Genomic DNA, 27,776 nt, shown 5'->3' with positions numbered 1-27,776 from the left:
AGATGGGTTGAGTGAAGGCCTGTAGCCAGAGGGAGCCCTTAGGCAATGGAATGCAGATGCTGGCAATTGAAAGTCAACTTAGCATGCACAGAAGTAAGGACAAGGAGTTATGGATGGGGCACTGAAAGAAACTGCTCTAGTTTGCTTATTTCAAAAGAGACAAATAGCCATAAATACACTAAATATACATTTTCATTTATTTTACTGCTGTGTTTTAGGATCTCAAATAGCTATTCATATTTAGACAATCACTAAATATGTCTTGAATCTGTTGATGTCTCATAGCTATCTCCCTCAGCTAAATGAATGAATGAATAGAAAAACTGAAATCCATGTGGTTGAGTGCCAGGATGATATAACTTCTGTTAGAAACCACTTTGGTGCCTTTTGCCATTGGCAGCCAGAGCTAAACCTGTATTTGAGCAGTCCCTGACATCCTATAAATGTTGACTTACACAATCAACATTTACAGGATACAATTATACAATTCATGGGGTTAAATGTAACATATTTCAAAGTAGAAACTCAGTGTCACTTTTTTGAAAAGAGAAAAAAAGAAATTATTTATGGAAAACTATACTTATAAAATGTATGCATCAATTTTCTTTTTTTTTGAGACGGAGTCTCGCTCTGTCGCCCAGGCTGGAGTGCAGTGGCGGGATCTCGGCTCACTGCAAGTTCCGCCTCCCGGGTTCACGCCATTCTCCTGCCTCAGCCTCCCAAGTAGCTGGGACTACAGGCGCCCGCCACTACGCCCGGCTAATTTTTTTTTGTATTTTTAGTAGAGACGGGGTTTCACCGTTTTAGCCGGGATGGTCTCGATCTCCTGACCTCGTGATCCGCCCGCCTCGGCCTCCCAAAGTGCTGGGATTACAGGCGTGAGCCACCGCGCCCGGCCATCAATTTTCTTGCTCATTATCTAACTCCTTTCTAAAGTCAAGTATGGGAGATAAGTGATAGGTGGCCCAACTGAGTGGTTTTCTGTGGTAGTCTTGAGCCAGGAGTGACAAAGTATCTTAAATATGAAAGTAGAAATACATGAAGTTAGTGAGCAAAAAGTAGACATTGCTCCCAATTAGGGGCCAACTTTAGAAACAGAATAAGCCATCCAAAGTGGAATTACCAATTTTTAAGTAGTTAGAATGTGAGTAAAAGCCAACAACAGATGAAAAAAGTAGAGCAGCTAATAAACAATGAAGAGTGAAATGGATCAGTAGGTGTCAGGTCCTCAGAAGTCCTGTCATAAAAACTATGTCTTATGACATGGTTGAGTTGACATTATAGGATTTATGGTCAATTATCATGAAGTCAGTATAGAAGATGCCAGTATTCATCTTGGGGAATCAAGTAAAAATTTCACTACTGCGGAATGTGAGGAGAGAGAAACATGCCCACTTCCTTCTAACCTTTGCCAGAAGGTTGATATAGTGCTAGACTAATCATGGAGACTTACTGGTAGACAGGAAAATAAAGCTAGAGTTAAAGTTTTTACTTGATGTATTGTTTAAAAAAATATTTTCTTTTACATTTTTGTCCTTTTAGTCTATGAAATAATGTTTGCTAAGAGGGAAGATTGGCCAAAAATTGAAAGAAATGAGCTCCCCAATTTCTTCAGTGACTGTGGTCATTTCCCAACTCAGAAACAAGTTGATGATACTTGGGACCTGGTCCATCAAGGTGAGTAGTTTCTCATTTCTTTTTCCCCCCTTCTTTTCCTTTCAACTTCTTTCTTTTCTCTTTCCCAACTTTCCTTAGTTGTTCTCTTCCTTTCTTCATTCCTTCCCTTACTTTTACTAAACTTTTTGTGTAAGTGCTTTCCCTCAAATTTCTTTGCATCTGATCTTAATATTTGTGAAGGAAAATATTTGAAAAGTAGGTTAAAAGAAGTTAATACAATACAGGTTTTTTTGGAGGAAGATGGAAGAGGTGGTTTTCATTTTTATAGTTTTTAAGTATTTTTGGATATAAAATAAGTTACATCAAGCTGAGTATATTTTAAACTATCATATTTTAAATACTGATGCTAGGAGGCTTTCTCCTGGATAGTTAGATTTGGTATTGGAGAACACGGTCAAGTTAAAATGTATAAACATTGTAAGCTATTTCAATATAATAGACTTTCACAGAAAATCATTTCTTTTCTGAATAATACATGAAAAATATTGTTTATGAGAATATTTAATAATTTAAATTGAGCAAGATTTCTCTCTAAAGACTAATAAGGGGATGTAAATTGTCACAAAAGTATGAAAACATCTCAATGAATTTTCCTTTAATATTTTAAGATTCTTTTCAGCTTTTCTTTCTTTTTTCCCCAGCTTTGTCAAAGTATAATTGACAAATTAAAATGGTTTATATTAAAGATGTAATATGATGATTTGGGATACATATGCATTGTGTAATGACTACTACAATCAAATTAATCAATATATCCATCACCATTCATAGTCACTGTTTGTGTATGTAAGTGTGAGTGTGTGGTGAGGACACATAAGAACTCTTCTCCTAGCTAATTTCAGGTAATCAATACAGTATTAACGACAGTCACCATGCTGTACATTAGATCCCCAGAACTTATTTGTCTTTCAAACTGAAAGACAAAAAGTTTGTATGTTTTGACCAACATCTCCTTAATTGCCTCCAACCCTCAGCCCTGGCAACTGCCATCCAACTCTATGCTTTTATATCAACTTTTATAGATTTCCCATATAAGTGAGACTACACAGTATTTGTGTTTCCATATCTGGCTTATTTAACTTAACATAATGTCTTCCAAGTTCATCTTTATTGTGACAAATGACAAAATTGCCTTATTTTTAAAGACTGAATACCAGTCCATTGTGTATAATACCACTTTTTAACAAAGCTGGAGGCATCATGCTACCTGACTTCAAACTATGCTACAAGGCTACAGTAACCAAAACAGCATGGTACTGGTACCAAAACAGAGATATAGACCAATGGAACAGAACAGAGCCCTCAGAAATAATACCACACATCTACAACCATCTGATCTTTGACAAACCTGACAAAAACAAGAAATGGGGAAAGGATTCCCTATTTAATAAATGGTGCTGGGTAAACTGGCTAGCCATATGTAGAAAGCTGAAACTGGATCCCTTCCTTACACCTTATACAAAAATTAATTCAAGATGGATTAAAGACTTAAATGTTAGACCTAAAACCATAAAAACACTAGAAGAAAACCTAGGCAATACCATTCAGGACATAGGCATGGGCAAGGACTTCATGTCTAAAACACCAAAAGCAATGGCAACAAAAGCCAAAATTGACAAATGGGATCTAATTAAACTAAAGAGCTTCTGCACAGCAAAAGAAACTACCATCAGAGTGAACAGACAACCTACAGAATGGGAGAAAATTTTTGCAATTTACTCCTCTGACAAAGGGCTAATATCCAGAATCTACAAAGAACTCCAACAAACTTACAAGAAAAAAACAAACAACCCCATCAAAAAGTGGGCAAAGGATATGAGCAGACACTTCTCAAAAGAAGACATTTCTGCAGCCAAAAGACACTTGAAAAAATGTTTGTCATCACTGGCCATCAGAGAAATGCATATCAAAACCACAATGAGATACCATCTGACACCAGTTAGAATGGCAATCATTAAAATGTCAGGAAACAGCAGGTGCTGGAGAGGATGTGGAGAAATAGTAACACTTTTACACTGTTGGTGGGACTGTAAACTAGTTCAACCATTGTGGAAGACAGTGTGGCGATTCCTCAGGGATCTAGAACTAGAAATACCATTTGACCCAGCCATCCCATTACTGGGTATATATACCCAAAGGATTATAAATCATGCTGCTATAAAGACACATGCACATGTATGTTTATTGTGGCACTATTCACAATAGCAAAGACTTGGAAGCAACCCAAGTGTCCATCAATGATAGACTGGATTAAGAAAATGTGGCACATATACACCATGGAATACTATGCAGCCATAAAAAAGATGAGTTCATGTCCTTTGTAGGGACATGGTTGAAGCTGGAAACCATCATTCTTAGCAAACTATCACAAGGACAAAAAACCAAACACCGCATGTTCTCACTCATAGGTGGGAATTGAACAATGAGAACACTTGGACACAGGGTGGGGAACATCACACACTGGGGCCTGTCGTGGGGTCGGGGGAGTGGGGAGGAATAGCATTAGGAGATATACCTAATGTAAAGGACGAGTTAACGGGTGCAGCACACCAACATGGCGTATGTATACATATGTGACAAACCTTCACGTTGTGCACATGTACCCTAGAACTTAAAGTATAATAATAAAAAAAAAATACCACTTTTTTTTTCCATTCATTTGTTGACAGGCACTTAGGTTGCTTTCTTATCTTGGCTATTGTGAATATGCTGCAATATAGGTACAGCTATCTCTTTAACAAACTGATTTCATTTATTTGGATATATACCCAGTAGTAGGATTGTTGGATCTTATGGTAGTTCTATTTTTAATTGTTTAAGGAAATTCCATAATATTTTACATAATGGGTGTACCAATCTATATTCTACCAACAATGTACAAAGATTCCATTTTCTCCACCTCTTCACCAATACCTGCTATCTCTTGTCTTTTTAATAATAGCTATCATACTAGGTGTGAGGTAATAGCTCACTGTTGTTTTGACTTGCATTTCCCTGATGATCATCTACCTGTTGGCCCCTTGCATATTTTCTTTGGAAAAATGTTTATTGAGGTTTGTTGGCCATTTTTGAATTGAGTTATTTTGGGATTTTTGCTATTAAGTTGTATCTTTATCATTTATTTTGGATATTAATCCTTTATCAGACATATGGTTTGCAAATATTTTCTCCCATTCTACAGGTTCTCTTTTCATTTTGTTGATTGTGTTTCCTCTGTTGTGCATAAGCATTTTAGTTTGAGGTAGTCCCGCTCGTTTTTTAAAAATTATTTTTATTTTTTTATGATAGAAACTGGGATCTAAGTTGCTTAGGCTAGTTTTGGACTCCTGGTCTCAAGTGATCCTCCTGCTTCAACCTCCCAAGTGGCTGGGACTACAGGCACATGCCACTGTGCCCAACTGTTTTTTGTTTGTTTGTTTGTTTTTGCTTCTGTCACCTGTGCTTTTGGGGTCATACTAAAAAAAACCATAGCCAAGATTGCCTTCACAGTGTTTTTCCCCTGTTTTCTTCTAGAAGTTTTGTGGCTTCAGACTTTACATTTAAGTCTTTAATCCATGTCAAGTTAATTTTTAAATATGGTGTTAAATAAACGTCCGATTTTATTCTTTTGCATGTGGTCATCAAGTTTGCCCAACACCATTTATTGTAAAAACTATCCTTTCCCTATTGCGTATTCTTGTCACCCTTGCCACAAATTAGTTGCATATAAATGCATGGGTTTATTTCTTGGCTCTCTATTCTATTCCATTGGTCTATTTGTCCGTTTTTATGCCTGTATCATACTGTTTTGAATACAATAGCTTTTTAATATAGGTTGAAATCAGGAAATGTGTTGCCACTAGCTTTGTTTTTCTTTCTCAAGGTTTATTTAGCTTTTCAGGAACTTTTATAGTTTCATGTAATTTAGGTTTGGTTTTTATAAAATGCCATCGGAATTTTGATAGGGATTGCATTGAATCAATAGATCATTTTGGTAGTATAGGCATATTAACAATATAAAGTCTAATTCATGAACACAATATACCTTTTCAATTATTTGTGTCTTCAATTTATTTCATCAGTGTCTTATGGTTTTCAGGGTACAGATCTTTAACCTCTTGGGTTAAATTTATTACTAAATATTGTATTTTCTTTGATGCGATTGCAAGGGGGATTGTTTTCTTAATTTCTTTTTCAGATAATTTTTTGTTAATGTAGAGAAATGCAACTGATTTTTGTTTGTTAGCTTTTCTTTCTATTTATATACTCATGCTCTGGCTTTCTACTGTGTTTAGAGATAATGTCACCACAAAGTAATTGAGAAGAGATGGTAAGGAAGTGAAACAAACATTTCAGGATCTTTTTTTTAATCTAAAGAAAGGGCTCACATACTAGTACAAAGGTGTGAGTAAATCAGAATGTAAAGATGGATGCTTCATTGTATGTTTGGAGTTCTCTTCTTTCATTCTTAGTGCAAATTTAAACAATTCTTTACCTATGGACTTTGTTTTGCCACTGCTATATCCTAGTACCTGGAACAATTTTTTAGACTTTGATAAATATTTGTTCACCTATTTGTAGAAGCATCTACATCACTTTGTGCTTCAGTTTAGGTTGTTTAAGTGACTTTTAATGACAAAAGTATTTAATGTTTTATTATAGAAAATTTGGAAAATATAGAAATACATAAAATTTTGAAGAAATAGCAATTGTTTTTTTTTCACTTTTTTTATTTCTATTATTATTATACTTTAAGTTTTAGGGTACCTGTGCACAATGTGCAGGTTAGTTACATATGTATACATGTGCCATGCTGGTGCGCTGCACCCACTAACTTGTCATCTAGCATTAGGTATATCTCCCAATGCTATCCCTCTCCCCTCCCCCCACCCCACACATATACACCATGGAATACTATGCAGCCATAAAAAATGATGAGTTCATGTCCTTTGTAGGGACATGGATGAAATCGGAAATCATCATTCTCAGTAAACTATCGCAAGAACAAAAAACCAAACACCGCATATTCTCACTCATAGGTGGGAATTGAACAATGAGAACACATGGACACAGGAAGGGGCAATTGTTAACATTTACTATTTATCTAAGTTTTTCTGTCAATATGACATTATTTTATGAAAATCCAGATTTTCCACATATAGTTTGAATATATTGTTTTTAACAATACTTATCAGTTTCAAAGCTATAAATAAGTTTTACAGTGTTATTTTTGACAGAGTAGTAATCTGCCATATGGATGTTCTATAATGTATTTATTGTTATACATTTAAGTTGTTTTCATTTTTCTTATAATAATAAAATTAAAAAATTAAATGCAGCCAAATATAACTAATCAAGTAGTTAAAAAACATATATGACTAGTGTTAGTAATTTAGAATATGTATTTTTTTTTCAAATTAACAGTTTCATAGGGGTATTTTTCTCTACTCATTATTTTAGAGTATATCATAATGGCTTAGATTTAGAGCATGGCTCTGGGGTTAGCTTGCCTGGGCTTAATTCCCTGCTCTACCACTTTCTAGCTGTCTTTGGACAAGTTATTTATTCCTTCTATACCCCACTTTTTTCAGCTGTAAAAGGAAGATAATATCTAAGTCACTGGACTGTTATGAGGCTTAAATGAAATAATTATGTAAAATATGTGGTCCATTGTAAGTGCACAATAAAAGTTTGCTATTATTCATAAATAATTCTTACATATTCTTAATTATGAAAATAAACTTCTATAATTATCTTCATTTTGAAAATGTTTAAATATTAAACAAAATTGTATAATGACTCATTTTAACAGAGATTTTATACTGAATGTCATCAGTTGGTTTCTACCCATATCATCCCTTTCGATTATCATAATGATCTATATGCTAGAGGAGGGGATATGCTCGTTTATACATATTTTATGGATGGGAGAACTGAGGCTTAGAAAGAGACTTTTCTAAGCTCATTGATAGAGCTGGAACTTTAATTTTGCTCTCTTCAAGTTAAGGTGAATGCTTTTTCCATTCTACTATGTGCAGACATTTTAAAAATCAGTGTTATAAAAACATAATTAGATGGATGATTAAAACATTCTTGATAGCAAGAGCTGCCTGTTCATGTTTCCCAGGCTAGCTTAATGCCTTGCAATATGTTAGATTTTTCTGTAAATGATTGTGTCTGTTAAGATTCTTATTTAAACTAAAATTTTCAAAAGAAAAGTTAATTTAAAAGCATATTTTTATTATAATGCATAAGATTGGGAAACTTTCCTTTACAGAAAGGGGCCACTCCAATGTAATTTTAAATATATGTCTAATTATATTGCTCCATCCAGCTACAACACTTTTTGATGCATAAGAAGATTTAATTTAAAATGGAGGAGATATTCTAAAATAATGAAAAGACAACAGAAAATTGATACAAAAAGGAGCTAAATTAATGGATTCCTATTTGCTTCTGGTATATATTCTATTCTTAAAAGAATTTGATTTTATGCATTTTAGATTGTCTATCATCTTCATTCATACTGACTTCTTTGATTGTGTATAATAGCTCCAGATGTGCAACCTACGCATTTTTTCATCCAGTAGAATATTTCACCTGAGCGCATATGTAACTAATTCAATTGATTAACTACTTTAGTGTACGACACCAAGTGGGTCACAGTTCTAAAACTGTCTTCAGTTATTTTTAGCTCTTTTTTTTTCATTCTTTATTCTTATCACTATGGTAACAAAAAAATTTGTGACTGAGGACATGATTTTTGTCTAAAAATCTTACTTTGGGAGAATGAAGCAACTTCAGGCTACATTTGTAGGCCGATCTTAAAAGCTGCAGAATATGCAAACATGAAAACCATTACTTGATATTCATTTAAATTCCAGTAAATGAAACTAATAATAAGAGAAGAGCATATCAAAAAGTAAAGAAAATAATAAATTGTGGGTGTATATTATCTACTTATACTTCTGTCTAGTCTTTAGAAATGTGAACTTTGAAGGTTTTCCCCTATTTTTCCAACATGTAAATAGAACTTTTAGTTCATTTTCTGCAATTAAGATAATCAAAAAAACTCAACAACGATGATAAGTTCATTTTTAGTGAGGAGCCCTAGACAAAAATCTTAAAAAACATGAAAGGTACTTATATTCTGTTTAACCTGAAATATCCTATGCATCTGAACAAATTATAACCTGAGATATTACATGAATCATTTTAGGTTTTCTGACTAGTTAGTGGCAAACTGTAACTATTTCCTGAGCCTCCTGTTCCTCAGACCACAGCTTTGTCCACCACAAACCAACAATGCTGCATTTTCTGCTCCTTTACCAATATATAGCTTTTTGTTATTAGATGGGAAACATATAGTGATTTTCTCTTAAAAGTTTTTCACATGAACAGGCACTCTAATCGTAAAGTTTAATTATCTAGGAAGGGATTTAAAAGGACATTTTAAAAATAGAGGACTTTAGATTAGAAAAAATTTAAGACTGAAAAATTCTGATGGCAAAAGAATGAAGACGTATCAGAGGTAACATGTTAGAGTAGCCTTATTTTAAATAACTTCTAAAATTGAAATTTGACACATCCTTATTGTAACACATTTTGAAAATACACCCTAAAAATAAAAGGTGAAATGAAGAACACTGGCAACTTTATGTTTGAGAATGGCGTGAGGCTCCTGACTAGGGATCAGAATAGGTAGTCAGTTCTTATAAGGATCTTATAAGTTCCTCCATTAACATTTGGTTAAATGTGTTTGGCAATTTATCTTCTTCATTAATAGAATAAAAATAGGATCACATTATACATATGTTGCTGGTGCAAATCGCAGCTCACAAGCTCACTGTTTAAGACTTACTTTTTATTTTCAGGCTTCATGCATAAGATTTAATTTCAGGCAATTTGACTTTTCATTCTATTTTTCTGAGGTTTTTGTTAAATCAGAGTGGACGACAGTCAATCTCTATTGCTACTATCAGCCCCAACCAACCACTGATCTGCTTTTTGTCTCTATAGATTTGCCATTTCCAAAAATTTCTTGTAAATAGAATCATACAATATGAAGTCTATTGTCTGTTAGGTAGTGACATAGCTTGTGGGGTTCAGATGATCTGCAATATTAGCTGTCAACTTTGGCACTTCCTGGTAGTTAGTTCATTGCAATCCCACATACTAGATCACTTTAGTGTCTTGTAGTTCTATGACAATTTAGTGTCTCGTAGTTCTAAACATTAGGAGTCTAAGATCAAGGTGTTGGCTGATTTGGTTTCCCTTAAGGCCTCTTTTCTGGGCTTGTTTTGTTGCTGTGTCCTCACATGGCCTTTCTTCTGGGCATGCTCACCTCAGTATCTCTTCAGTTTTATAGGGACTCCTGTCGTGTTGAAGTAGGGCCCTACCCTTATGACCTCATTTAACTTTAATGCCTTCTTTAAAGGTCATATCTCCAAATAAAGTTGCATTACAGGTTAAAGTTGCTTAACAGGTTAATTTTGGGAGGAGACACAATTCAGTCTATAACACCTGGGATATCCATTGGACTTATTGGCACTTATTAGTCAATTTAATCAGGATGCAATAAAGATTCTCTTTTTATTTTATTTTATTTTTTGAGATGAAGTCTTGCTCTGTTGCCCAGGCTGGAGTGCAGTGGTGCCATCTTGGCTCACTGCAACCCCCACCTCCTGGTTTCAAGAGATTTTCCTTCCTCAGCCTCCCGAATAGCTAGGATTACAGGTGCCCACAATAATGCCCAGCTAGATTTTTGTATTTCTTTTAGTAGAGACGGGGTTTCACCATGTTGGCCAGCCTGGTCTCAAACTCCTGACCTCAGACGATCTGTCTGCCTTGGCCTACTGGGATTACAGGCATGAGCCACCACTCCTGGCCAATTCTCTTTTTATTTTTTAACATCTCAATTGAGTTATAATTTACATCTTAAAAAATTCACCCATTGTAAGGATTCAGTTAAATGATTTTTAGTAAATGTGCATTGGTGTACAACCATAAGCATGTTAGATTAAATTTAAAGATTTTCATAACCTCAAAACATCATTTTGTGCCCATTTGCAGCTAATCCCTACTCTTACCCCCAGCCCCAGACAACGACTAGACAGCCTTCTGTCTCTATAGATTTGTCATTTCTCATAAATAGAATCATGCAATATGTAGTCTACTATGACTGGCTTTTTTCAACAATATTTTTGAAGTTCATCCATGTTGTAACATATTTTAAGTACTATATTCTTTCTTATTGCTGAATGAGATTTCTTTGTATAAATATGCCACATTTTGTTTATCTACTCATTAGTTGATGGACATTTGGGTTGTTTCCACCTTTTTGTTATGAATAATGTTACTATGAAGATCTCATTGTGGTTTTAATTTGCATTTCTCTAATAATGAATGATGCTGAGCATCTTTTACTAGACATTTTTATTTATCTTCTATAGAGAAGCCTATTCAGAACTTTTGCATATTGTTTCAATCAAGAGCTTTATTTTCTTATTATTAAATTATTAACGTCTTTCTATTCTGGGTACAAATTCTTTATCAGATATATAATTTGCAAGCATTTTTTTTCCCCAGGCTGTGGAATATATTTTTATTTTCTTAATGGCATTCCTGAAAAGCAAAGGTTTTTAATTTTTATGAAGTCTAATTCATCAGTTTCTTTTTTTCTTTTCTGGGGTATGCTTGTGGTGTTATATCTAAGAAGTTTTTGCTTGTAATAAGATAAAGGTTTTTCTTCTATGATTTTTCCAAGTATTTTAATGACTTAGCTCTTACTTTTTGGTCTATAGTTTATTTTCTTTCAGCCTATTTGCAAATTTGAATATAAAGTGTTTTCTTATAGAGAGCATAGAGTTTGATCTTTTAAAAATGTAGTCTGTTTGATTGGAGTCTTTAGTTCATTCATATTTGGTACAATAATTGATATGCTACATTTATGTCTGTCATTTTACTATTTATTTTGTATATGATTCACGTCTCCTTTGTCCCCGTGTTCCTCCTTTACTTCCTTCTTTTGCATTTTGTATGTATACTTTTAGTGTACCATTATAATCATACCAGGAATTTTTAAAGTATATTTTAATAATTATTTTCTTAGTGGTTGCTCTAGGTGTTGCAATATACATTTTAATTTATTCCAATATTTTTAGATAAATGCTAAAATAATTCCAGTTAAACGTAGTCACTTTGCTTCAATACAGCTTCCTGTCATCCCTCCTCCTTTGTGTTGTTACTGTCATATGTATAACATATGAAATTTATAAGCCTAGCAATATAGTTTTATAATTATGTTTTATGTAATAATATACTTTTGAAAGGAGTTAAGAGAAGACATTTGCAGATATCTTTTATACTGTTATATATATAAAACTAACATATATAAGTGTATAAAAGATATCTGCAAATGTATATTGCAAATGTATATATATATTCATATATATATAAATACATTTACGATTTCCTTTGCTCTTCATTATTTCTCTGGATATGAGTTACCATCTGGTGTCTTTTTCTTTCAGCAGGTCTCTGGCAGTGTATTCATTTAATGTCTTTATGTCTGGAAATGTCTTTATCACCTTTATTCTTGAATATTTTTGCTGGATATAGAATTCTTGGTTGCCAATTTTTTATTTTTCAGTCAGCATTTTGAATATATCCTTCTACTGCCTTCTGCCTACCATTGATTCTGATGGGAAATCAGTCATTAATCTTATTTTTGTTATCTTGTGTATGATGAGGCATTTTCTCTTTCTTCTTTCAAGAGTATCTCTTTGCCTTTGTCTTTCAACATTTTGTCTATGGTTTGTTTACAAGTGATCACTTCATGTTTGTTTATCATACTTGGGGTTCATTGAACTTCTTGGACTTTTAGATTAATGTTTTTCATCAAATTTGGCAATTTTCAGCCAATATATTTTTCTTCACTTTTCCTTCTCTCTCCTTTCCTTTGCTAACTCTCATTATACTTATGTTAGTACACTTAAAGTTTTCCCACAAGTCTCTGGTGCTGTTTATTTTTACATCTTTCTTTCTTTGGTTGTTCAAATTGGATAATAGCTATTAATCTGCCTTCAAATTCACTATTTCTTTCTTCTGCCTTTTCAAATCTGTGGCTGAGATCATTTTGTAATTTTTCTTATTTCATTACTGTATTTTTCAACTCTAGAATACGTTTAGTTCATTTTATTGATTCTATTTATCTTTATAATCTCTATTTTAATATTATCACATTTTTCTTTAATTCTTTAAATATAATGTATAATAATTATTTGAACATGTTTATAATAGTATCTTTGAGTTCTTTGTCTGTTAAATCTAACCTCTGAGTTCATTCAGAGTCAATTTTTAGTACCTCCTTTTCATATAAGTATGGGTCACTCTTTTCCATTTCTTGGCATGTCTCATTTTGTTGTTGTTATTGTTGAGCACTGGAAATTTTAGATACTTTGTTGTTACAACTATGGATTCTCCCTTTTCCATTATGGCCTGCTCCAGGATTTACTTATGTAAAGGTTTTGGGCAGTGGTGTCGACAACTTTTGTGTAGCAGGCTGCCACTTTTCTGATATTTAGTAGGTATTCTTTATTGCTTTCACCCATCTGAGAGATAAAAGTACATTCTATTTTCTGGTTAATAATTTAAAGAATAAATCAAAAAGTGAAAGGAAATTCATGAGAACATACTAATGGATACCTTCCTTGGTTGAAGCAATCCAGAGTCTTTTTGGATGAAATTGTTTGTAAATATAATTAACAAGTATAATATATTTTGAACACTTAATATGTGCTGTGAAAAGTAATGTGGTTCAAATATTTCAGACTCTCCATAATAACTGGAGAGACATACAAACATATAACTACATGCATACAATGTTACAAATGCTTAGACATTCACACATGTATCAAGTGCTAAGATGATATAGTATTAATTATATGTTCCTTAGATAGAGGGTAGGATTTGAGTTAATCATTGTAAGATGAGTTAACTAGATAAGAAAATAAAAGCAAAGGTTTAACACATAGAAGAGAGATAATGTGCAAAGCAGATTAGAATTTCCAGGATAGCTGGTAACAGTGAATAGGGGAAAGTCTGTGTCTGTGGGGTGGGTACCTGGAGAGGGAGCCATGCTACTAAAACTGCTGACTAAAATACGTCTGATCATTTATTTAGGTCTAGTGAATTGTGATTGCTTTTCCCCATGGGATTCTATTGTTTTCAGTTTGTTATTTACCTATCATCTGCCTACTGTAAATGGATGTTTTCAAATATACAATGCAAATTAGATTTTGGAAATAAATCAATATTGTCAGTAGAAGCTTTTTAAACCCTTTTCCCTAGAGCTGAATACCTTTGGATAAACAAGAAACCAAACTCTAAGGGCAAAGAGCAACCCTGAAAGATTTGTCTTATCATCACCTTGCTTTAGCTACCTAATCTAGGCAGCTGTTCCTACAATTCTGCCTGCTCTCTTCCCTAGCACTTTTTAAAGATGGTTCTTGACATATGGTCTCATCTTACATTATTTAACTCTGTTAATGCCTGCTTTCACCCTAGCAATAGCTGTGTAAAGCCTATTAAAGCCTCTGGGAATCATCATGGCTAGTGAAAGGCTTTTTCTTCCCCTCCACTTTCCTGTCTTACCCTACAGTCATGTGAGTTGTTACTCCAATTAGTAAGTTACTCTAATTTGCCATTCTGTATTTTTTAAACCTTTGACTCTTATTATTTGGTTTGATATATTTGTGCCATTGTTATGTAAGCTGCATAGAGAATCTGATTAAATTCTGTAATATTACTTAACAAGAGTTATTCTTCTAAAGTGTGTCTGTTTTCTTTAAGTAGAAAATAACCATCTTTAAGAAACAGCAGGAACAGCGGGGGCTTTAGAATGGTGTAACTTCAATAAAGGTATAATTACTTTCATAAGTCTGTTAGAGAGCAGGACTTTTGGTTCCTTTTGTTAGATCTCTGTTTATTAAGATTATACACCCAGTACTCGTAACATGCGGAGAGCCACTAGCAAGTCTTTGTTTTATATGATTAAATTACTATAATACCAGGAATATAAACTCCCTGATGAGAAAAACTTAGCCATACAAGTCTCTGATACATGAAAGGAACATGAATATAAAATACTGTATCGTAAATTCTTGAATACAAGCTGTTAAAATATGCAAACTTTTAATTAATATAATTATTCCAACATCGTAAACATAGTATTAAGGATATTTTTATTTTTTCTGGCATTTATCTTGATGCAGAGTCCTATAAATTGCTACAGTAAAGTGAAAACTTCCAAAGGACTTAAGGTAGTTTTTAGTCCTTTACTGTCATAATGTTTTGTAGTTCTCACTCAGTTTGTTTAAGTCATATTTAGTAATGAACATTTTTCTAGCTTTTCTGAATCAAGCTTTTATTATACATTATGCATTGCTCAATAAGGCAACATGATGCTTCCATGCTGTGAAGCCTGTCATGCACGATATAAATTATTAGTGGTATTGAATTGAAAGCTTATGATTCAGATTTGTAAAAGCAAGCCTCTTACTAGGAGCTGCCAGTTTGGCAGAACGTAAGCCAATTGTTTATGCTAAAAGCTTCCTTTTTTTAAAAAGGTTACCTCTAGAGCCATGATTGGTCCATAAGAGTTTCATTTTGGTATTTTGATTTCCAAAATTTAAAATTCAGTTTTCATATTGAAATCAACATGGAATACAGCGGTGTAGTTATATCTTTTATAAACCATGCTGACTTATAAAAGGAGATGTTTATGGAGTAAATTTTTTGGCATAGTTTTTCAGGGATTAATATAAATATCTCATGTTCCTACCATAAAACTGTTGAGTTTTTATTCTTTCAAAATATTCTCGTCAATGATTCCTTATATACCACTGTGTATATAATTTTAGCATGATGAGGGTCCAAACATCCTTTTGGCTGATGTTGTTCAGTGGTTTGGATATAGAGGACATGATTTTCATATACTTCTTCATATGCACTTGTCATCTTTTGAAGTAAACACAGATACACCCATACAAGCGTATTTGCATAGCATGTGCATCAATAGTAATGCCTATCGGCATTAACAACTTCCTATAATAAAGGCAGATATCAGAACAATCTCTTTCTCTTTCTTGTGGAGTTTAATTCATAATACTAATCAAAAAAGGCACAAAATTGAATGTACACCTACAATTTATAGTGTGCATTTTCTAGCATTAAGATTTACATTTAACATTAAACCAATATTTAGTGGCTCTTAACCAAGGTCTCATAACCTATTTATGTGTTTAAATAAATTGTAAAGTGAGTGCCAAATAAGTTGATTCTAAGAAAGTTAAGGTACCTAGATTTTTAAAGTAAGAAATAGATTTGAATGGATTAAAGGATAATCAATATAACATCACTGTCACTGTCTAAAATTCTAAAGACAAATAAAGCAGTAGAATTTCCCTGCCAGATATATTATCATTCTTGGACTTTTTCATTGTATATAAATGTGAGAATTAGTCTCTCTAGTTCCATGAAAAGTGCAGTTCATATTAAGATAGTTTGTAGAGAATGGATTTCTTTTTTTCTATTAAATCTTGCTATTTAACAATAGTGTTGTGGTTTGGCTGTGTCCCCACCCAAATCTCATCTTCAACTGTAATTCCCATAATCCCCACATGTGATGGGAGGGATTCAGTGGGAGGTAATTGAATCATGGGGGCATTTACCTCCATGCTGTTCTCATGATAGTGAGTTCTCATGAGAGCTTATGACTGTATAAGGGGCTTTCCCTCACCTTCATTCTGGACTTCTCTTTGCCTGCTGCCATGTAAGATGTGCCTTTGCTCCTCCTTTGCCTTCTGCCATGACTGTGAGGCTTCCCTGTCCATGTGGAATTGTGAGTCCATTAAGCTTCTATTTCTTTATGTACCCAGTCTCGGGTATGTCTTTGTCAGCAGCGTGAGAACAGTCCAATACAAATAGGCTATCTACTTACTTAAGTTTTCTTTTGTATTTTTTAAAGGCCTTTTAAAAATTCTCTATAAAGAACTTATGGATCCCTTTTTATACTTATTTCTAAGAACCTTAGTTGTCTGTTGCTGTTGGGAAATGAAGGAGATTCAGTTCTCTTATATGTTTTCTTAAGTCAGGCGCTAGATACAGAGATGCTTATTTATTTCTTTATTTCTTTTTTATATGTCAGAAATACTTCAAAATGAAAATATAAAAATTCTCTCAATCCTTCCTATCACATGTAGAATAAACATTAACAAATGACACATTTTCTACCTTTCTGACTTCAGCTCCTATTCCTCTCATTTTTGCTCACTGTACTATAATTAGGCTGATAACTTGACTTTTTAAATACACTAAATTACTTGCATTTGCTGTTTCTTCTATTTAAAATTTTCTTCCCTCATGGCTCCCTTTGTAAGAGTTTGACTCATGTCTCAGCTTCAATATCAGTTACTCATAAAGCCCCTTCCTGACTTTTCTCTCTAAAATAGCCTGCTGTCTTCCCACTGACCTCTGCCCTCCATCTTTGCTTCATTACCTTAATATTTATTTTCTTTCATTCCACTTATTACTACTTGAGATTATATTACACATGTTTCTCTGTATTTGTTTATGGTCCATCTCCCTCTACTAGCCTGTTGATTTCCAGTGTGGCAGGGGCCATACCTTGCATGTTCACTGCTAATACCCAGTTCATAAAATAGAACCTTGTTTGTAGAAAGGAGGGAAGAGATGGTGTCACCAGCCACAGCAGATTGAAGGCCACATGCCCATACTAAGCTAAGAAACATGAAAGGAAAATCTTTCATACTTTCCTTTAAAATTAGTAGTGTAGGAAAAAATTGTAAAGAGGTAGTATATGCCCCCACATAGTCCTCTAGTGATAAAAAGAAATGATTCAGTCTCTTTTTTTTTCTTGTCTTGGGACAAAAAAAAAAAAAAAAAGATAATTATCCTTCAGAAAAAGCATGCTCCTCTCAGAACTTTCCAAAACTCTTTTTCAGGAAAGCTTGTGGAGATCCTGTAGTATTTCCCAGGTAATACTTTCTTATTCATGAGTATTCTGTGTGATTCTTGGGAAATATTATTTCAAACATGGAATCTCTTGTAGGTCTCTTGCCAATGTGTCTCCTGGTAGGCACTGAGAATCCCTAATGGACCCTGGCATCATACCAGCATTGCCTTTGTATACTAGGTAAAAGACATATTGCTGCTCTTATATTTATTAGTTTGTATATTGTTTTTGAGCTTTCTAAGGTGAAAACAACTTTCATGTATACCGAGACTGTATCTATACAGGAACACTTGCATTATTTTCTGCTATGATGTTGTGAACTTAGGACACACTTGCAGAGCCGGCCAAGCATGAGTCACCCAACAAAAGTGAAAGCTGGGAGGGGATTAAATAAGATTAGGATTCAGATACATGAGGTGATAGTGGAGCTGGCCCTCGTGTCAGGCAAAGCTACCCTCTTATGTGGCCAAGAATGAGCCTTCAATGACCACTTACATTAATAAGACACCTACTATAAACAATATGTTCATAAGAAAGTTAACAAACAGTACCAGGCCAGTGTCTGTTATGAGTCAGGAGAAATGGACAGTTTAATCACAGAAAATGTTTAAATATTAAAAAGATCATTATTCTAATTGTTAAAATAAAAGTAAAACAGAATGGTAACTAGTATGCAGTCTCCTCTGAGGGGCTCAGTTGTGCTAGTGCTACATATAACTAATTTTAAAAACTGATGGCTGCCAGTTTACATCCAAGAAATTTCTACATATTTATAACAGTTGCTGGTGATAAATGCATTGAAATTATGCTTTTTCCTCTTTTACATACTAGACTATAAGCACCTGGTCATTATCTTATGCCTTTTTGTATGCTCAGGATTCACACATTTTAAAAAAGCTTGATAAATATTTGTTGAAGGAAAGAAGGGAAGGAGAAAGAGAAGGAAGTTGCAGTTGGAAAAAGAGAGGGAATAAGGAGGGAAAGAATGCAGGGAGGAAAGAAGGAAGCAAACAATGAGTGAGGGTTACAGTAGTTTTGAACTTTTTTAGGTTGAAACATACAGAGTTTACAAAAATAGAGAAAAATATCTTCTCAAATGTTTATCTTGTTACCATAATTTCTTGCCATTTGAAAGGAATTAGAAAGGAGTTTACTCAGAACTGGCGTACCATACAGATGCTTAAGAGGTAAAACTCATGTCACTTTTTAAGGGATGAGTTTACGCATATAACAAAGAGAATGAATCAAATAGTTCTTCATAGAATCTTATCATACAATCAATATAGTAAATTTATCATGTAGACACAGTTATAACTTACTCTATCATTTCTGCTCCTGAGTAAAACTTTTTCACATGAATCCCAGTATTGTCTAATTATATTGAATATATACATGAAGTATGGAAGTTTTTCTTAAAAGTATTTCCAAAACATCCTTGCAAATAAGTTCCAGTTTTTGTTAGCCCACCACTCCTCAGAAAATAAATGTGATAATTGTGCATATAGAACATAAAACAAAGTAGCCCATACATTTTTAGGAATCTGTGCCTCTCTATTTCTCTACCTGGAGATTTTATGGTTTAAAATAGGCTATGATGTTAACTGAACGCAATTAGTGTGTGTATGTGGGGGGGGGGTGGGGGGGTGGGGGTGTCTGTGTCTGAGTATGCAGGTGTAGGTAACATGATAGCTAGATATATCTTCATTGGATAAGGTGTTAGCCTTTTCTTTGTTCTTTCTACCTAGAAATAAAATCTCTGTGACTGTCTTATCTGAATCAGGCCCCTAGTGGTAACTATCAGTGGTAAAGTACAACATGAAGAGAAACTAAATAGATTTAATTAAGAATTTGGGATTTAATCTATTTCCAGTCCCTTTGCCATGATACTGTCTCAGGACTAATATATTTCAAAACTACTTTTATGTTCCAGTAACTTAGTCTATGTGTCAATTCTGTATCCTCTCTTGGATACACAGAGATTGCTTTCCTGGTTGTTCCCATAGATACATAGAGTTTTCTCTCCCATTCACTAATTCAACAAATATTTATTGAGCATCTTATATGTTGTATGTTCTTCAAGGTTCCATGGGTACAGTATGAATAAAGCAAATTTCCTGCCCTCCTGAAGCTTACATTGTACTGGAGAGGGAATTATATATATGTATACATATAAATTTTATATATTTTATGTGTATATATACACATACACACATATATATTTATATGTCAAATCAGTGATAAGTTCTATGAAGAAAACTAAAGCAAGGTAAGAAGATAGAGAGCAAGATGGGGACATTTTTCTTTGGGGTGATCAGAATAATTGTTTGGAATACCATGGTGTTTGAGCAGGGACCATAAGGAAGTGAGGGAGGGAACCATGCTGATGACTGTGGGAAGGATCAAGTCCTAAGGCAGGAGTGGATAATGAGAGACAGCAAGAAAGCCAGTGTAGCTGGAACAGATGGATCAAGGCAGGTGGTGAAAGGAAACAACAGTGGAGCAGTCGCCAAGAACTAGGTCATAGAGTATCTTGAAGGCAACATTAAATACTTTGGATTTTATTGTAAATATGATGGAGACTTCATATGACTTATATTATGAAAGAGTGGCATGACTTTCATGTGAATGGGCTGTGGGGCCCAAAAGAGGAAGCATGAAGAATTGGCTGGGAAGCTATTGCCACTGGACCTGTAAGAGAGTGGGAAAGCTCAGTTAAGTGGGTTTACAGGGTATGATGAGAATGATGGATTCAGGAACCTCTCAAGAGGAGCATTTTATAACCTTTGGAATCCTTGCAACTGAAAACTGGACTATGTTAGAGATATTCTCTGTAGAGTTGTAGACTTTTGGTAATAGTGCAAATCTTTATTCAAAGATTTGGCAAAATCCCTGTAGCCTAGCATATGGCCTGTAGGAAAACACTGTTGGTCAATGCCAATGAAAGCCTGAAATGGGATGAGACCTTTATGGTTTTATGAGAAAAATATGTCGCCAACCCAAGGGAAGTAAAATATAATAACTCAAAACCAGAATATTTGGAATGACAAAAACCTTCCTTTTAAAACGTATTCTTCTGGTTGGGTGTGGTGGCTCACGCCTGTAATCCCAGCACTTTGGGAGGCCAAGGCCCGCAGATCACTTGAGGTCAGGAGTTTGAGATCAGCCTGGCCAAAATGGCTGAAATCCCATCTCTACTAAAAATACAAAAATTAGCTGGCTGTTGTGGTGTGTGCTTGTAATCCCAGCTACTTGGGAGGCCGAAGCGGGAGAATTGCTTGAACCCAGGAGGCTGAGGTTGCAGTGAGCTGAGATTGTGCTACTGCTCTCCAGCCTGAGTGATGGAGTGAGACTCTGTCTCATATATATATATATTTTCCTACCCAGTAATATTTGCTTTTCATAATAAACTTTGCTCATTAAATATTATGTCTCTGTGCTCAATTCCTTTACTTTTGCTTTATTGCTACTTTTTCACTTATTAAAGGAGTATATTATTTAATGAAGACCCTTTAGTGCAGCAGAATAAAAATACTTTTACTTCTTATGCAAAAAAAATTCTTCCTTTTGCTCCTGTAAGCTTCATCTCAAGCAGAATGCCATTCATACCTCAGAGAGCTTCTATAGTGCAAGGTACACTGTCTGTCAAGTTAACTGATGGTCAGAAGTACCATCTACTGAGCATTTAAACTAGCCTGAGACAAACTGTGGCATGTGAGAAATTTGTCTTGGGGAGTCCTCCATCAATGTTCACACTTTTATACTCATTTTCTGTACCCAGAATCCTCATTGCCATGTTCTGTTACCTCAATTCCTCAGGCTTATTCTTTCCTAATTTACTCTCCTACTTCAAACATTTGATTCTCCCATGAGCCACTTCTTCAGAGCTCTCCAAGGCAATTGGATGATTACATTTTACCTCATCTTTTCAGAATTTGAGATTACCTATGTTATGTAGTAATATCTGATGAGATAGTCATGGGTGCATAATACTATCCTTGCCATGTAGCAGATATGTAATTTTATAAAATATTTTAATGCCTTAACTCAAAGAATTGATAAGTGATGATTGACAAAATGTTAAGCTGTGAAGCTTTTTGGGTTCTACATGGTGCCTCAGTTGAGACAACTGAGTATTCTATTTAAAAATCAAGATAGGCTGGGTGTGGTGGCTCACGCCTGTAATCCCAGCACTTTGGGAGGCCAAGGTGGGTGGATCGTCTGAGGTCAGTAGTTCAAGACCAGCATGGCCAACGTGGTGAAACCCCATCTCTAATAAAAATACAAAAATTAGCCAGGTGTGGGGCCAGGTGCCTGTAATCCCAGCTACTCAGGAGGCTGCGGCACGAGAATCACTTGAACGCAGGAGGTGGAGGTTGCAGTGAGCAAAGATCATGCCACTGCACTCCAGCCTGGGCGATAGAGCAAAACTCAGTCTCAAAAAAAAAAAAAAACAAAAAACAAGATAAATCTCTCATGAAGATATCCAAGCAGCATCATTAAGTACCTATTATGTACAAGATGACTAGGAAGAAATACTGTTCTTGAGTCGATTGCTGATGTCAGGGAAAGGAAAGTGGCATTATTCTTTGAACATTGTCTCAGAAAATCACTTTTTTCTTCATATTGCTGCATGGCTGTGTTTACTTTAACACAGCATGGCATGGGAGAAGCAAAAAGACTTGAGTGAAATATAACTTATTTTAATTTTGGTTCCACCACAAACTAGCTGTATAATCTTGGGCAAGTTTCTCTTTTGGAACCTTATTAACTCCTGTGTAAATTAGAATAATACATACTGAAATTCAACAGGTATCTTACTCCGCTCAGGCTGCTTTAACAAAATACTATAGCGTGGGTGGCTTAAACAATAAATATATATTTCTCACAGTTCTGGAAACTGGGAAGTTCAAGATCAAGGGGCTGCCAAATTCAGTGTCTGGTGAGGACTCTCTTCCTGACTTGCAGATGGCAGCCTTCTTGCTGCATCCTCACATGGCAGAAGGAAGAGCTCTTGTTAGGTGCCATCCTCATGACTTAATTTAAACTTAATTACCTCCCAAAAGCCACCTGCTAATACTATCACATTGGGGGTTGAAGTGTCAACATATGAATTTGGGGAAAGGCACAAACATTTAATCCATAATAAGAGGGAAATACATGTCACATATAAAGCAACACATCTTCAGGTTCATAAATAGTAGTCACTTCATATCCTTAGTCTTTCTTATTCTTGTGAAAAAGATTCAACTATTAAATCTGCTTTGGTATGTGTGGCCAGCACCATGCTTAGTTTAGTGCTTGATAGTTTATGGGAACGATAATCATGATATTTTTATAGCAAGTTGATATGCTGATTCCCGTTAGTTCTCGCTGAGATAATAATTCCAGGAGTCAGATAGGAAAGTATTTTGGCATGTAACTAGAATTCCTCTTGCTGTACTGATCTGTAAATGTCCTGTAAACTGACTATATATTATTACTTTTCCAAGAGGCTATAAAAATAAATAATGGAATATATTATTTAAAAATTTTTGTAATAAATTATTTCCTTAAAATGGAATAAAACATTCATTAATAAGCAAAATATATAGGAAACAACAACAAAATAAAAATTATGCAAGGTAATTTTTTAAATTCTGGATAGTAATATGTTGCATTCACAGTTTACATATTTAAAATATTGCCATAAAATATTTTTTCATAGAACTTTCTAGTTTTACTATTTACACATTTGTTCATTGTCAAAAACAATATCAGCTCATTTTAGTTCTGTTGAGAGCATTTTATCATTATAGTATATTTATACATTAAACATGGATTAATCTGTCATGATGATTGCACAGACAAGTAGGTTTCATTTGTCTAGATTAAATTTCCATTTGTGTAATGTAAGCAGGCTGCAAATTATTTGAGGAGCCATTTTTTACATTTTTATAGCTCTTTGAAATTTTTCACAGTGAAAAGAACTTTTTTGATGATATAAATAATATATTTTTGTAAAATTAAAAAATATTCAGTGCTCTTCTTCTTGCTTATATATGCATATGAAAGTACATGTTTATGGTCATTGTTTATTACACTGTCTGGAATCGCCATGAGAATCTTCTAACCCGTTTCAATGTCTTCATAATGTTCCATGATATAAATATACCCCATTCTATTCAGTCATTCTCCAGTTAGTCAGAATTTACTTTGTTTATAGTTTGGTGCCCTTACAAACATCTTTTTGGATTGGTGCTTCTATTTTTATGAAACAGATTTATAAGAGTAAAATTGTTGGATAAAAGTGTATAAATATTTTTAATTTTGATTGATATCTCCAGAATGATTATCAATTCAAATTTCTCAGCAAAATTGAGCACATCTTTTTATTTCTAAATTCCCAATGGTAGATGTATTTGCCAATGTGATGAGTGTGAAATGATTTACACTTACTTTAATTTACATTTCTGTGATATATAGTTGCTCTTCATATATACGTAGCTCTTCTATGGATTGCCTATTTATAATTTTTGTCTATTTTTTAATTTTTTATTTGTCTTTTTCTTACTGATGCACATTTTACCCTATTTATATATTAATCCTTCACTTGTCATTTATTTTACAACAATGTACCAGTCATTTAATTATGACCTTTGTTTATGTTATCTTTGGTAATATGAAATCTTTAAATTTCTATGTAGTTAGTGTATATTTACACTTTTGGTTTACCTTTTTTTGGTTAAAAACATTTTTCAAACTCCAAGGTACACATAGAACCTATTAATGTTTTCTTCTAAAATTATTATTTTACAAACCTTTAATACATCTGGAACTTATATCTGAAGGTGGTGTGAGTAGAGGTCCAACTTATTTTTCTTCCAGCTAGATATTTGTGTATATCAATATCATTTACTGTCTTTTGACCACTAAGTGGAAATAATTCTTTGTACATTAAATTCTCATATATGCTTAAATCTAGTTAAGGGCCCTTTGTTCTGTTGTATTTATCCATGTGTCTGTTATAAAGTTTTTGGTAGGATTGACTGCTTGATTCAATCTATTGCCAGTTTAACATTTATGAATCACATATTTTTGTTTTAATATTTTGATTTAATACATTTTATTAGCAGATTTGCTGGCATTGTAGTGACTTTCCTAAAATAAATATACTTTTTTATAGTGAAAATCTTGCTACATTCTATTTTGTAATATTTTACGTAGAATGTTTCATCTACTTTCATAAATGAAGCTAGTCTGTGATATTTCGATAACTTCAAATTTTGCAGTTGAGATTATGTTGGTTTCATAAAATAAAGATTTTTCTGTGATCTCCTAGGGTTGAGGAAAGTTTAATTAAAATACTGGAATTATTTTTCCTTAAAGATTAGGTAAAATTTAGGTAGGAACATTGGGTTCCAGTGCTTCTTTGAAAGGAAAATCATTGATCCCTGTTTCAATTGACTTTAAAGTTATTGCTTTATTCAAATATCCAATTTTTTTGATTAATAGTGGTACTTTATGGTACCACTATTGGTTTATATTAGTTTTAGGAAATTTTTAATTTATTATAGGTTTATAAGTATATTACAATAAAATTGTTTTTCATGTTCTCATAATTTATTTTAATATTTTCTCTACAGATGGTTATGTCTCTTTTCATTCTTATTGTCTTGTATGTCTTCTCTACTCTTCCTTTGAAAGCTTGCAAAGATTTTCTATGGGATTAATTATTTTAAACCACTAGGATTTGAATTTACACTCTTTTATTTTCTGTTTTCTTTTGTATTCATGTCAGCTTCTACCATTACTAATTTTATTTTTTGCTTATTTTATTATTTAAATTTTAAAGAGGTGTATTAAGTTCCTTTATTTGTAGTTGTTCTCCCTTTACAATGCTACAAATTTGTTCTAGCTATCACTCTAGTTCTCCTAATTTTTTTGGTGTGAAGTATTCATTTTTCACTCTTCTCTAAGAGAGTTCTAATTTTAGTTTCTTTATTTTAAATGTTTCTTTAATGAGGCATAACTTACCTACTCTTAAATTTACAGCTCTTAAGTCTTAAATCTTACAGTGCACAAATCTTAAGTTACAGCTGGATGAATTTTACATATCTGTACTGTACATTTGTGTAGCCACCATTTAGATGAACATATAGAACATTTTCATTGCCCCAGAAAATTTCCTGTGCTGCTCCTCAGTCAGTACACCACTCCAAGAGATAACCACCAAATTGACTTGTATTACCATAGAATAATTTGTCAACTTCTTGTTAGGGGAATCATACAGCATCTGCTCTTTTCTGTCTGACTTCCTTCACTTTTAACATTTCTGGGAGTCATCTATGTGGTATATAACAGTATTACATTTTAAAAATTGTTATTTGGATTTCCAAATAAAATTGTTATTTGAATTTATCTATCATAAATTATTCATTCTCTTGTTGATGGACATTTGATATATTTCCTGGTTAGGGTTATTATACACAAAGCTGTTATAAACACTATATATGCAATTATGTATGAACAAGTTACTATTTCCACCCACTCTTCAGTCTAGAATGCGTTTACTCTGCCCTTTTCCTTTGGTTTTGCAGAGAAAGTTAATTATTTTTACTTGAAGATCATTGGATTTTTCTTTATATTATTAATATTCCATTTCCAGAATTCTTATTTGGAACTTACTTTGTGTATAATTCCAGTCTCTTTCTCATTTTCCATTTTGATATAAATCTATCAGTCAGTCAACCAATCAGTTCATCAATTGATCCAGCTATCCACCCATCCATCTACCTATAAATATTGATGTAGATATTCCAGTGAATGATTATTGCTCACCTTTGTCTGCTCTCCTCTTTGTCTTTCTGTCTTGCGGTTTTTCTTCTGATTTATTTTTTGTTGATCATCATGCTCAGCTGGAATACTTGGGTATGTAGTCTCAAAATACTGACTTTCCATAAACATATTTATTTTTATATTTATATATTTACTTTTATGTGACATGTGAACTGTCCTTGTTTGTGTAAATATGTTTGGTTGTATTCCTTTCTCCTGACAACCTGAGGATTTTTTTCAACTGTCTTTTAACTTCCTATGTTGTTGATGAGAAATTCAATACTTTGTCTGATGCTTTTTTCTTTGTAATTGCATGCTATGGACTGAATGTATTTCCCCAAAATTTGTATGCTGTAACCCTAATCCCCAGTGTGATGGTATTTGGAGATGGGCCTTTGGGAGGTAATTGGGTTGTGAGGGTGAGTCATGATGGGATTAGTGCTTTTATAAGAAGAGACAGGAGAGCGCTTGCTTCCTCTCTCTCTGCTGTCTGCCATGTGAGGATACGAGTATAAGGCAGTTTTCTATAAACCAGGAAGCAATTGCTCCCTCACTAGATACTTAATCTGCTAGTGACTTGATCTTGGACTTCCCAGCCTCTCCAGAATCATGAGAAATAAATATTTGTCATTTAATCCACTCAGTCTGTGGTATTTTTGTTATAGTAGTCTGAGCTGACTAAGATATCATAGTTTTCAGTCTGGAATCATGTACAAATTTTTTCTTTTATCTTTGGGGTTCAGGAATTTTACCAGGATATACCTATTTTGTGTATTTTCTTATAGTCCCAATAGGAACTCTGGAGCTTTATAAATTCTTTCAACTTGTACATTCAAGTTTGGATTAATTCAAGCAATATAATTTTCTATCAGTTGATTAATTACCCTTCCTTCTGTAGTTACTTTTTTCTTATAAAACCTCAATTTCTGTGTTATATTTTTTGGATCTGTTGATATGTTGCTTATCTTTACTCTGGAGATATTAATTCCTCCTTCTCCCCACTTTTTCCCCCTCTATGTCTTGAATTATTTCCTCCTCTGTATCTTCTAGGCTACTAAATCAGGCTTTAATGATTATCCTCTTTTTACAATGTATTCACTGAATTATTAAAGTAGAAAATCATATTTGTGTTGTTGTAGAAAGTCTTTTTGGTCTTTAATGGTATGTTTTCTTACGTTATTTTGTTCAAGTGCTATTCTGTCTCCATCTCTTCTATTCTGATAGGAGCCATCTGTTTTGGGTGTTCTGTTTCTTCTTCTACTTGACTCTT

At 33.7% G+C, this 27,776-nt stretch overlaps 1 protein-coding gene across 16 annotated transcripts in view; it reads left to right on the top strand.

Annotated features, from left to right (window-relative positions):
- Positions 1-27,776, top strand: part of IQCM (IQ motif containing M) — a 464,135-nt gene that overhangs the window by 265,712 nt on the left and 170,647 nt on the right. For 15 of the 16 annotated variants that reach the window (NM_001378180.1, XM_017008904.3, NM_001363507.2 and 12 more), the window contains one exon: positions 1,543-1,677. In NM_001378180.1, coding sequence (NP_001365109.1) covers positions 1,543-1,677 — 135 coding nt within the window. Of the gene's footprint in view, positions 1-1,542; positions 1,678-7,990; positions 8,050-27,776 lie in introns of those variants that run through there. The other variant, XM_011532456.4, reaches the window with a different exon arrangement.

This window comes from Homo sapiens, chromosome 4, assembly GCF_000001405.40.
Source record: "Homo sapiens chromosome 4, GRCh38.p14 Primary Assembly".
NCBI lineage: Eukaryota > Metazoa > Chordata > Mammalia > Primates > Hominidae > Homo > Homo sapiens.
This window is presented reverse-complemented; position numbering and strand designations above follow the sequence as displayed.